Below are 13,399 nucleotides of genomic sequence, written 5' to 3' on the forward strand. Positions count from 1 at the left end.
GATGAAGGTGTATTCTAAGCAGAGGGAAGAGCACCTGTGAAGGCCTTAGAGGTGAGGCGAGCATGGTATATTTGGGAAAGTAAAAAATGCTGATGGATAAATGAAGTTTGAGGCAAATAGGATAGGAAATGAGACCAGAGACAGAAGCAAAAGAGAGATTTGAAGGCACTGTAAATCTTGTTAGAAGTTCAGATTCTGTCTCAAGGCCAGTGGGGAGTATTATGATTTGGTTTCTCTAGCCTGCAGAGTGAAAGATAGATTGGAGGGGGCAAGACTAGAGCAGCTGTCAACCTATATATCAGAGAGAGGCTCTCTAAAAGAAAATAATATTTATTCAGGAATGGGCATTGCCATGGGAATAAATGTACCATGGTAAACTATATGTGCATTCAGGAAGGTAAAGGGAGACAAAGGTTTTTAAAGGAAAAATGAGGAGAATTGCATACTTGTTTTGAGACAATTATCCTTGGCTATTACAAAGATCAATAACAAGGGTGATGTCAGTCTAAGTTTGGACATGCATTTGCAGGGAAGATGTCCTTATAGAAGTATTTTTGTAAGGATGCTGTGGCCTTTTTGCAAGGTAGCTTTTGCAGAATCTTCTGTGATAGTTTTTTTTGTTATCAGGCACAAAAGCATGAGACAGCTTTATGACATTCCCCAGCTCTATTTGTCATGTGTTGGTTTGGTGTTTGTTTTTGCTTTTTAACACAAGTGACTCCATTTTGATTCTGACAGTTTGTACACAGGGAGCCCAGTTGAGCACATGCTACAATAATTTGGGAGTGAGTTAATGTAACCAAGGTGAGGGTGATGGCATGGAATGATACAGAAATAAAAGAATGAAGATATTTAGGAGATAGGAATAGTAGTACTTAGGGCATAATTTACTGGGAGTAGAGAGAAAGGTAGGAGTGAAGGACAGTTCCCAGGCAATGGGGTGGATATTGAAGTTGGGAACATTGATGGCACAGCAACTCATGGGGAAAGATGATGTATTCATTAGGGACAGACTGAGTTTGAGCTTTAAGACATTAAAGTTTGGAGCTCAGCTACTGAAACTCCGTTATCTTCTGTCCTGTGGGGCCTTGCATTGTCTTGTGAGGGCTGAGTGGAAATCTCCTGCTGTTCCTCACTGATTACCAGGTACTTGTTCTGATGATTCACCTACACTAGAGAATGAAAGACAGAAAACAGAGATGTTGGAGAAGGGGTAGCAGGGTTAGAAAGGATAACAAGAGGGACAGCCAATAGAAAGAGAATGTAGGAATTACCTAATAGAACAGTTTTTGTCCTCCTTCTGACCTTTCTACAACCCCCCAAGTCCAGCTATTAAGAACGAAGTTAGGAGGTATCATTCACTTCTCAAGACTAAACCTTGCAACAATTCACACACCATGGGATGATTGACACCCTACAGGAAATAGTTCCACAAATAATCTAATACTTAAAGTGATTTAGAGACAATTTACTGGTGAGATTAAAATGCCTTTCTTTCCATATACACACTTCAACCTGGATAGATTTCAGAAACATAAAGTTGAATGAAAAAAATTAAGTTGTAAAATAAAACATATAAATATGGAAGTCTTTTTATGGATATATACATATATGTAAAAACAGGATTATTTTTACCAATAGGGAAGGAGTGAGGTAATTGAAAACAGCAAAAGACTTCAACCACATCAGGAATGATTTTTTTTATGTGAAAAAAAAATCTGAAGCATACTTGGCAAAATGTTAATATTTGTTAAATTTGGGAGTTTGTTATGTGTATTTGTTTAAAATATTTCATTAAAATGACTGTATGGATTTTTTCTTCGACAAGAATTTAAAATAATATATGTAGATGCTCCCTACTCAAGGAAGTAGAGCTTAACCCCTTCCGGGGGTGAGCTAGATTTAGTGATTTGGTTGCAAAAATCAGAGAAGAGAAAGGGGGAAAATAGTACCTTTACAGTAGAGAAACCTGGCAGATGCCACCTTGATCAAGAGATGATGCTTAACATCATCGTATGTGGGTATCATGTACCCCTTAATATGATGTGCTTGGCAAGAAGGACACTTTACCTCTGTGCTATTCTTCATAAAATCCAGTAACCCCAGTTAACTATGTGAAAACACACACACACACATCCAGACATGGGAGCATTCTAAGTACCTGGGCACTACTCCTTAAAACTGACAAAGTCATTGAAAATGAGGAAAGAATGAGAAACTTTCACAGACCAGAGTACTGGGAAGACCTGACAACTAAATGCAACATGAAGTCCTGGATTGAAATCTACAATGGAAAGAGGATATTAGTGGAAAAGCTGGTGGCATCCAAATAAAGTCTGGAGTTAATAGTAATGTACTAATGTTGGTTTCTCAGTTGTGACAAAGGTACCTTGGTTATATAAGATGTTAACAATAGGGGAAACTAGATGACACGTATATAAAAACTCTCTGTACTATTTTTGCAAAGTTTCTGTAAATCTAACGTGATTCCATTTAAAAGCTTTTTTTAAAAATGACTGTATGTCATCAAGAACCCTCCATCTCAAAATGAAACCAATGGGAAATCGTCTCTGTGCCTGAGGATTGAGCACATTATCCAAGTGCAGTGGTGCCTTGTTTCTCAGCCTTCAGAGAGGAGGAAGTGTACCATGGAGGTTAATTTTTCAGAAAATTGAAACTAACCCTTCAATCACAAAAAAGGTGTTGCTATTTTCAGCTATTTTTTTTGATGGCAAGCTTTCAAAAGTGGATGAAAAAATTCACTCCTCTCTGAACAGAGGACATAGGAGTAATTGAATCCTTTCTGGGTGAGTCAGGGCCACCGGTGTGAATATCTGCTATCACATTACCTCAATAAACGGCATGGTCCTGCCTTTCATTTTCTTTTCCATGGCATGAAGTTAGAAATACAGGAGCCATCATCTCACAGCTAAGAAATGGCAAAGAGAAGGTCACAAAAAATTGATGTGAATTAAGAATAAGAGAGGTGTTTATACAACCCCAGGTGAGCCAGCCCTGGGTAGAGCGTGTCTTCTACCTTCTTAAACAGGCAGTTTAGCTGAGGGGAGCAGCTGGCAGTTGATTTTCCCATTTTTCTGTGCCATTTCTTGGTTAGCAATGCAACCTCTGAATGCAAAGCACATCCTCTGGGCAACAATTGAAGACCCCAATAACCCCTACTTATCTCATTTCAGGCATGAGAGGCCAGTGAAGGTTAACTCGTTGATATTTTCATGAAGGAATTTAAATTGTGACATTTTCCAGTTCTACTTAGAGAATATTTTCTTTGTTAGATATATCATAGGGCAATAATTTGGCTCATACTACATGAAGAAGTGTCTAATGAAGCCAAAGAAATGGTATAATGTGAGCCTTGGCGATAGGTGGCCAGAGAAGTAAAGGGAGTTTAGGAGGAAGGGGGATTACAAATCAGTCCCAAGCAGTGATGCTTCCCACAAAGGCTTTTCCATTCCCCTGTTCTGGAGCTACATGGCACCCCATGCTTCCTCCTTGGAGAGACCAGGCCTCTCTGGAGCCCAACAATTGCTCAGCCTCACAGCCCAGCCAAGAGATGGGCCCCTCTTCTGGAAAATGAACTTCACCCTAAACTCTGCACGAGCTTGTTAGTTAAACCACCAGTCTTCACTTAATCTGACACAAAGATGAGATTTGCAGTATCTTCCTAAAGTATCTTCCCCTAGTTATTACCTCTGCAACTCAAATATAAGCCCACCAAGTACTGTAGTCTTATTTCCTGCCCCTTTTTTATCATCAAAATCACCTTGTTCAACATCAGTCGCAACAAATATTTCTGGATTAGCAGATTGTGTACTCAGTAATCTCTCCAGGTAACCCAGCCCTAAGGCAGTAGGTGGTGTCAAATTATTAGTGCAGACAAGAGATATTAGGGGATTTTCAAGAAGCTTCCTGTAGAACATCCACTTTGTCACCTGTTTGCTGGAGTCAGCGTCATGGATATGACTTAATTAGACAAGGCTGGAGGTTTTGACCTGAAATTAATCATCAACTAACTAATTCTGAAGAAAAGTCTGAAGGGAAGAAAGATATTTTAATGTCCATACTTTTTCTCTATTCCTCTAGAAAAGTATTCAAATATCTAGTCTTCATTTTGGGCAGGATTTCTCAACTTCTGTGCTATTAACATTGAAGGCCAGACAATTCTCTGTTGTGAATGGCTGTCCTGTGCATTATAGGAAGTTTGGCAGCTAGAGTTGCTAGAGTTAGCAAATTAAAATACAGAATTCCTGGTTAAATTTGAATTTCAGATAAACACGAATAAATTTTTATAGTATAGGTATGTCCTGTGCAGTATTAGCAGTATCCCTGGCCTCTGTCTACTAAATGGTGATAGCATGCTCCCCCACCCCCAGCTGTGACAACCATAAAGTCACCACACATTGACAAATGTTCTCACAGGGAGCAAAACTGCTCCTGCTGAAAACCACTGATTCAGGGTTACACATCAGAAAGCTACGAACATGAACATCTTTATCTTAGCTTCCAGAAGAAATAGCTTTCTCTGATGAAGTATCCATGAGAGAGTTCGCCAGACGAAGAACTCTCCTACAAATCTTACTTAAGCCATTTTGAAAATGTGTTTTATTCTGTTTTTAATGTCTCCTGGGATAAATTCCCTTTAGGCATTTGTGCCAGGTAAATTATTGGCTCTGTTTCAGAATTAGCAGGCTCATTTCAATCAGTTAATGTAAATTATGAAGGCTGTCATATTTTTATTTTTTCCTTAACTGCTAGAAAGCTTAGAGATAAATTTAGTGCTCAGTTGCAAAACCATCTAAGCTTATGGGACTAGCAGTATTTTTTAAAACAAACATATACAGTGCCTTTTATATGTTGCATATATTTTAAATTATTTACAAGTATTAAATGTTTAAGTTCATTCTATTACTGCAACAACCCTATGGTCAAGTCCTATTATTATCCTCTTTTTTTTGTGCCCGCAAAAAAGCAACTTTATTAATGTCCTGCAGCAGCATGCATTAGTAATTATAACCATGCATTAAAATTCTCATTTCATGTCATCAAGAGAGTAATCAGTTCTTTTCATGATACATTATGTTTTACTGAGTCTGTCCCTTCAAAGACCTTTCTGGGAACATTCCTTCTCCAGAGACTGCTTCCTAAGATGCCCAGATTGCTTACCACAGGTCATCTTTGGTCATTTAAAAGCTGTCAAGCCATCTGGACTACACCCTCTTAACTGAAGTTGAGCCAAATTCCCTTCTCTCAAATCCTAACGCCACCACTACTAACAGAACAGCTTGGTCAGAGCATTACTAACAACTTAATGTGGGATTCTCTTTGGTTATGGAATTTTACTTTTATTTAAGCATATAAAAATACAGCTAGAAGTAGGCTCCTGCATTCTAAAAGCATTTTTAATCAACTTAAACACAAGTATGTCCTTGGAAAATTCACCACCTGGACTGGTTCACAGTCGGCCCGTTTCCCCGTGGAATCTACATCAGTGTTGTATTTAGCAAATTCATTTGAGTGATGAACAGTGACTGATCTTCAGGAGCCCCGAGGGGTGGGGGCAGCTGGCCTGGGCAGACTTAGATGCTGTCCATGGCTTTGAACTCGCTGAGGGCCTGCACCGGGTTCAAGTGCTTCTTCTGAGATGCCCATTTAATCTCGCTCTGTGACTCATCCTGTTTCTCTCTCTTCAACAAGGGCTTTTTCTCTGGTGCCTCTATCTTCCATGACACAGCAGGAAGGTTGAGGGAAGCCATACCCTGTGACCTTTGGTATTTGGTAGAGGCGACGTAGGATGCCTTCATTGTCTGCACCACAGCATTCATAAGTCCTTGGTTGCCCAGATCAGGGACGTAGCGCTGTCCATTCCAGGGACAATGAACTCCCTGCCGAGATTCTGCATCTCGGCCTTGACCTTGCTGCAGATGTTGAGCAGGTGGCAGTAGAGGGCGATGCAGTGCAGGTAGGCCAGCAGGCCAAGTCAGGGCAGGCTGAGTCGAGCAGGCCGGCCTTGCTTGCAGGCCGAGTCGGGGCAGTGGTCTGTGATGGTGCAGCCAAGCTTGTCCATCCTGGATCCTGCCTCCGCAATTTTCTTTGCAGCACTGATTACATCTAATGTATTTTTGAGTGGTCCTTTACCTCAGGTAAAGTCAGTCACCTCCATCATAATCATGCACATCTGCTTGGCCAGCACAATGATGTCATTGGCACTGTTGTCCCATTTGGACACTTCAGCGTCCAGCTTGCTCTTTTCTTCCTGGAAGCTGGCCACCTGTTCTGCAGTCTTCGCTTTTTGCTCCTAGGGAAGCTGAGCCATGATCGCCTGGACACTCTGGCCAGCTATCAGCTGATTGTCTTTTGTCTGGATGCTCATCCTACTTCTGACATTGAAATCTTCCATCTCAAAGTAAGAGTCATCCAAGTCCTCAGGGGTCCTTATCATCAGCACTGCTTTCCTGATGTCCCGGATGCCACCATATACTAGGCAGGAGGCATTGATAAACTCATTCTCATCCATGGGCTGGGCAGGGTCTGAGCTGAGGGCTTCCACAGCTGCTTCTGCTTGCTCAGTAAAACATGGCATGACTGTGTTGGAAAGCAGCTTAGTGGCTTCCAGAACCTTCTCTGTGTAGACTCCCGGCTCATAGTTGTCCATCTCTGAGGTGACTATGTGAATGGCCCAGGCTGCCCAACCTTGAATTGCACTAGCTGTGCAGTCCAGGCCATCCACATCTTTCTCTTGGAGAGCAATGATGCATTTGTTCCATTTTCCAAAATGTGATTCTCTGAGACAGCCAAGAAGTCATCAATGGAAGTAATATCATCAGCAGCATCTGTGAGAACATGGACTTGTTTTTCCCATTGTTCTTTTAAAAAGATCCATGTTCTCTTGGGCCAGTCTACTCTGTGGTTTTGCTAAAGCCAATGCAGCATTGACAACCTGAGGACAGAGGGCTTCTAACTGGCTTGCAGACATTCGAACAAGTTTTACACCTTCTTCATTATTTGAGATGGAACAGGCCAAGTTGGCAACCTCAACCAATTTGTTGCCATGTTCACAGAAAACTTTGGCATACTCCTTGTTTCTCATTTCCATTCTTCGCAGCTTAAGTCAATACCAAAAGTGGAACATTGGTTTCCAGGAAAGAATCTGAAACGTGGTCCATGACAGCTTTGTGGAGCTGTCTACGCAAGTCCCTGGTCTTCTTGGTCATTTTATCTATAGCAGAATTGAGGGAATTACTTCTTTCTTTACATCCAGCATTGCCCATGTACTCCAAAAGCAGGTCCTGCAGGACCTGGAGGACAGTGTTACACTCTGCCGCAATTCGCTCACGATGGTCATCATGCTTGCAGGACGAGTCGCCCATCAAGGCAGCTCCGCTAATGATGCCTTCCAGGTGCTCCTCCAGGGAAGGCCTCAAGCACTCCTTGCTGAAGCTCAAAGGGTCCACAATGATTTGTTTATCAGTTATTGAGTACATATGCTAGTTCTACTCCTCCTCCACCCTGGTGATGGGAGGCATCGTCTGAGGCAGTGGCCTGGGCTACATTGGAAATGCCTGTGATGGCCTGCTGCAGCTGCTTGTATATCAGGTCCCTGTTGGCCTTATAGGCTGCAACATCAGGGTGCTGTAGGCATGCCCGGGATGCCGTATAGAAGATCAGAACATTCTTCTGCAGGATTCCTCTAGCTGCAGCCATCTGATCACGATGGCCAACATCTTTCAGTTCCTGTTGTCTTTTGACTGCCATAATGTTCACCTTATTCACTTCGGGTTTTAGGGCTTTATACTATATTCCTAAGTCTTGTTCATTGCCAGCATTCCTCAATTTCAAGATATCATCTTCCACAACTTTCAGCTGAATAAGTAATGTGTAGACATTTCCCATGTTCAGCCAAAATCAGCAAGCAGGTAACAGCAGAGAGCAAAGTTCAAGCTGCCTGAACCATGTTGCCTTGCTCCACAGAAGAACAGGGATCATCTGCGAACTCTCCCGCAGCAGTCTTCATCAAATCACCTTGTTTTCGAACGTATTCTACAGCAGCCAAAAGCTATTCCTAGAGAAAACTGGCTCTCCTTCACAATTTTATCCTCCTTCTCCAAGAAATTCTCAGCTGCTTGTTCAACAGATGCAGCCAAAACATGGACCTTCTTAGAATGACCTCTCTTCTTATCAGAGGGCCCCTTACTATTGGTGTTTACCAGGGTTGTAACCTGTGTAACAAGTCTCTCAGCTGCCAGAGTCCTGATCTCTAGACTTTTGGGGTCCCACTTCAAGTTTAAGTGGCCTGCGTGGACAGCAGTCATTTCTGCGGCGAGTAGGGTGAGCACTGGATTCCGGAGGCCCGAAGCCAACGCCCGCTGCTTTGTCCTCCTCCCTTTTAAAGATAAGGAAACTGAGGTACTTTGTTGTTGTTGCTATTGCTATGAATTATTTCCTTTTTCACCATCATCCTTATTGTATATGTAAGCCTCATCAGATTCCATCTGGAAGTTGATTGGGTACAAGTTAACATATCACATACCAATTTCAGGTCCTCTCAGCCTCACCTGTCTCTTGTTCCAGCTGCCACCTTGGCACCCCACTCCATTTATTTCTGCCAGGCACCTCCTTCCAGAGCCCAGCTCCATACCCATGCCATGAACCTCGATCTTCCCAACCTAGGATTCCCTGTTAACTTCCAAGGAATCCAGAGGCCCTCCCTCAGGCCCCAGAATTGCACAACTCATAATTACAGAGGAATTAATACCACATGGTCAAAATGCTCCCAAATGGGAGATGAAAACTGATAGATTTTTTTTTTTAATTCCAGACTTGGGATGCAGCTTTTAAAAGTCCTGGTCTTGTAAGATAGAGCAATCAGAAGTATTTAGTGGTGACCAGCTCAGTTATGCCTGCTTGAATTTCTCTCTCTCCTTCCCTGCCTCATTCCCCTCACTTCTGCTTCATGGGATCACACTCCCTATCACAGTAGTACCAACATAGCATTTTCAGGCTCTGCTTTCTAAGGAATCTAGATTAAGTAATTATAAGTAAAATTCCCCCAAATGGAAGTTTAGTCATTTTCATTAACTTCAGAATCAGTAATATTTATTGTGGTCTAATCAGAATACAATTCTGGAATATTATCCCTAGAAGTGCTATGGGATCTTTGGGGTGTCAATTTACTGGCCAGAAACCTCTGTGGCTGGTGGCACCTTTGCCTGAGTTCTTGTCCTGCATCCAGGAAGAATGAGGTATGCAGACAAGTGGAGGGTAAACAAGATTAAGAGGAGCTTTATTGAGTGTTAGAACAGCTCAGAGGAGACCCGCAGTGGGTTCTGTAGCTCTTCTCTGTAGGCAGGTCACCCTGTCCAGTGTTCAGCTCTCAGCAAATAGAAGGCCCTGGAGAGGGTAGCTCCTCTCTGCTACTGGTTGTGCTGACGTTTGCTGCTTTCTGCAGAGAGGAGGCCCTGGAAAGGGTAGCTCCTATCTGCAGCTGGTCGTCCTGACATCTGCCCAGCTCCTAGCAGAGAGGAGGTCCTGGAGTGAGTTGCTCCTCTCTGCAGCTGGTGGTCCCACCGTCTCTGCAAGTCTCTGAAGCTCTCAGCAGAGAGGGTAGCTCCTCTCTGCAGCTGGTAATTCCATCATTTGCTCAGCTCTGGCTGTTCCTGGAGATTTTATGGGCCTCAGAGAGGAGAAAGTGCATGCTGATTGCTCCATGGGTGACCATAGCAAGCTCAGAAAAGACACCAGTTCCCATTCTGGTCAAGGGGACTGGCAGCCCCACCCCCAGCCTTCAGGAACTGCCCCCTTCCATCTAGGAATCTGTCTACCTCCTGCTTCTGTTCATGGTACCCAGGCTCTGCCCCAACTTTGCTTCAAGATTGGAGAGGGCATTGACAGCAAGGAGAAGCCAGGCAGCAGAAGGAGGCACTTCTGAGCCTGCAAGGGCAGCAGGGGTCTTTCCTGGGCCTCCAAGAGTGCAGGGATGCCTGAGTCTGCAGTCATGGTTTGGGTGGCTGCAACTGCACCCTGGGTGCCTATTCCATGGAGTGGGAGGCTGGGGTCTGCAGGGGTGGTTTGGGAGGCTGCAGCTGCAACTGGAAGGGCAGGGCTCCTGCCTGCTCCTGGCCCCCCAAGAGCACAGGGAGGCTCAGATCTGCAGCCACAACTTGGGAGGCTGTGGCCCAACCCAGGAGCATGGGGTTCCTGCCTGATCCGTGGAGCATGCAGCCTTGGCCATGCCTCCCCACTGCAGCCAGTGTGATGGCAGTGGCAGGTCATCTGGAGTGGCCACTGCCATCAATCCCCGCTTCTGAAGAGGTACATCTAACTGCCATTAGGGTAGGGATGATGACTGCTCTTAACTGCTTCATGCTAACAGAGAGCATTGTTTTGGGAAAATGAAGTCAGGTCTCAGGACTCTAGCATGTTGAGGTTGATCCCATCTTCTTTATAGCTGATGACACCAAGACCCAGAGAGGAAAGGGGTTTGCTCAAGATTGCATGCTTTATGGGTGGTGTCTGAATATAGTACAAATATTTATTTAGTGCCTACAACGCCAGATTCCCATATACATTATTGCATTTTGTGCTTGCAAATTGGATAATTAATATTACCACCCCCATTCGAGGCATAAGAAACAGAGGGTCAGAAAAAAGGAAGTGAAATGTTGCATGTCACAATATTAGCAAATAGAAGAATCAGGCCTCCAATTCTACATGTCTCGTTCTTTCCCCAGTTGTCTCCCATGGTCAGGAGGTGGGCCCTGGCTTTTTGAGGAGCCCAGTGGAAAAACAACATGAGCTTTGGAGGAAGATAGCCTTGAATTCAAGTCCTAGCTTCACCACTTAGTAGCTTTGTGATCTTAAGTAACTTAATTTATCTGAGCCTCAACTTTTTAATTCTAAAAATGGGAAAACTAGTATCTACTCATAGTTTGTGAAGATGAAAGGAGATAATGTATGTAAATCTCCCACTGAAGTGTCCATATGTTGGAGTAGTTAGGTAGATGTGAACACGGCAGGAGAGCCCCCCACCACCCCCAAGCCCTGGCCACCAGGAATGTCAGGTGACCATCAGGTGATGGGTATGGTCAGGGGGTCATTAAACTGTATCACTAAAATAATAATTGGTTGCAGCTGGTGCCAGGGAATGGCAGTCTCCCAATAGATAGAAAAAATCTGAAACTGGTGATCAGCAGTTTCCTGATAAGATCTCAGGAGTTGGGTAAGTGGGCTCAAGCATGTGCACTAAGAAGCAAAATGGTGGAGTTCAACGGGTATGACCTTCCTCTAGAAACGCTTGACTGGTAAGGGCAAAATGCCTCAAATGAACATGTGTACAACTTCAGTAAACACACTATGCATGCAGCCCCTCCCAAGTTCTGGCAGGCCACTGTGCATGTGGACAGCCCATACCAAGGGAAGAATCAGGGGAAAAGTAATACAGGCCTTGGAAGCATGCCAACATATAAAGCCCCAAGTCAAAGGTCAAACAGTGCACTTTAATCTCTCAAGTCACCCCCTTGGCCCTCTTCCAAGCGTACTTTACTTCCTTTTGTTTCTGCTCTACAACTTTTTTTTTTTTTTTTTTTTTTTTTTTTTGAGACGGAGTCTTGCTCTGTCGCCCAGGCTGGAGCGCAGTGGCGCGATCTCGGCTCACTGCAAGCTCCGCCTCCCGGGTTCACGCCATTCTCCTGCCTCAGCCTCCCGAGTAGCTGGGACTACAGGCGCCCGCTACCACGCCCGGCTAATTTTTTGTATTTTTAGTAGAGACGGGGTTTCACCGTGTTAGCCAGGATGGTCTCGATCTCCTGACCTCATGATCCGCCCGCCTCGGCCTCCCAAAGTGCTGGGATTACAGGCGTGAGCCACCGCGCCCGGCCTCTACAACTTTTTAATAAACTTTCACTCCTGAGTTAAAACTTGCCTCAGTCTCCCCTGCCTTACGCCCCTTGATCAAATTCTTTCTTCTGAGGAGGCAAGAATTGAGGTTGCTGCAGACCCATATGAATTTCCCGCTGCTAACATGTACACAGTAAGGGCCTAATAAATGTTAGCCAGTATCAGTTCTCTGGAATCAAAGATGCCTTTCAAAAAATGATATTAGCTTCTATTTTATGGGTACTTATTAAGTGCCAGGCATGGTACTAAGCACTGTCTGCAGAAGATGGAATCTCCTCTAACTATCCTAACCTCACTGTGGGAGGGAAGATGAAGGGGAATGTCTACTATCTCCTAATCTCTTGTTGCCTCTAACAACAGTTCATAAACTGTAGCCATCTGTGTGCTCTCTTCTTGCACTTTGCCGTATCTGTGTAGCAGTTTTAAAAGTTTAAATTTACAGTTTAGTTTTGTCCAAAGCAATAACGTTGTGAAATTATAGATTTGATGTGCTGGTTATATATTTTTTGTTATTCAGATTAAAATGTTTAACCATTGAAATAAAAATGTGTTATTACTTAAAATACTCCAGAAAAAATATAAGATAGATAAAATAAGATTGGCAAAATGTTGATCTTTTTAAAAACTGGATGATGGGTACACGGGCTTATAAATTCTCTAATTTTATGTATCTTTTGAAATTTTCCATAATAAACAATGTTTAAAAACTAAAATAAAACACATCAAATCTGGGGCCAAGGCTCGGGAATGTTCTCTCACAGAGACCTAAAATCTACTCAAGTTCCACAGAGGAGCAATAGAAAAACTAGTCACACAGAAAAATTCCAAGTTAAAGTTTGTTGACTCGATGAATGAATGGTTTTCAAACTTGTTATCTTTCTTGTGGCTTTTAGCTCTGGTTCCTTGGATGCTCTAAACTGCTAACTTTCCCTTAAGGGGTGGGCAACAAATTAACATAGAAAATTTCATGACAAGATGAGTAATACCTTAGAAAACAGCCTAATCTGAGGAGCTCCTGCTGCTTTTCTTTTATTGCTATGCACTTGGTTTCCATTACCATGAAGAACATATCTAGAAAGTTTTGATAAATTTCCATAGTCATGTTTGGTTGCCCTTAGATGTTTCTGCAAAATGAGGTCAAATGTATTAAATGATATTAGTTGGCTAGTAGTTTTTAAACGTATTTTGTGAAAAAAATCTCTTACCAGATGTTCTTAAGAACAAGCTGCAGAGCCATTTGTCTCAAATGGCTTATGTGATGTAGGTCTGGAAAAGGAGAATGGAGCAAGGTGGCCTCAGGAGCCAGAAATGGCCAATGTGCTTTGAGAATCTGACATGTACCAGTAGGCCAGCATCATCTGTGACTGCACTAAGATTTTCCAAAGCACGTCTTCTCCCACTCAGATCTGGAGCCAAGCAAACACTCCCAACTCCTCACCCATATTCTATCTGGAATTTACTGGGATCAGAGTCTGGTATCAAATTAGGT

At 43.2% G+C, this 13,399-nt stretch overlaps 1 pseudogene, besides 1 other annotated feature; it reads right to left on the reverse strand.

Moving 5' to 3' along the window:
* Positions 4,981–8,398, reverse strand: CTNNA1P1 (catenin alpha 1 pseudogene 1; annotated as a pseudogene).
* Positions 5,809–6,103: a silencer, noted in NCBI's record as "tiled region #9424; HepG2 Repressive non-DNase unmatched - State 13:Ctcf, and K562 Repressive non-DNase unmatched - State 13:Ctcf". NCBI's record gives its function as "represses a minimal TATA promoter and a strong SV40 promoter by Sharpr-MPRA in HepG2 and K562 cells {active_cell/tissue: HepG2 | K562}" and the evidence as "EXISTENCE:reporter gene assay evidence [ECO:0000049][PMID:27701403]".

The sequence above is a fragment of the Homo sapiens genome, chromosome 5, assembly GCF_000001405.40.
Source record: "Homo sapiens chromosome 5, GRCh38.p14 Primary Assembly".
Taxonomy (NCBI): Eukaryota; Metazoa; Chordata; class Mammalia; order Primates; family Hominidae; genus Homo; species Homo sapiens.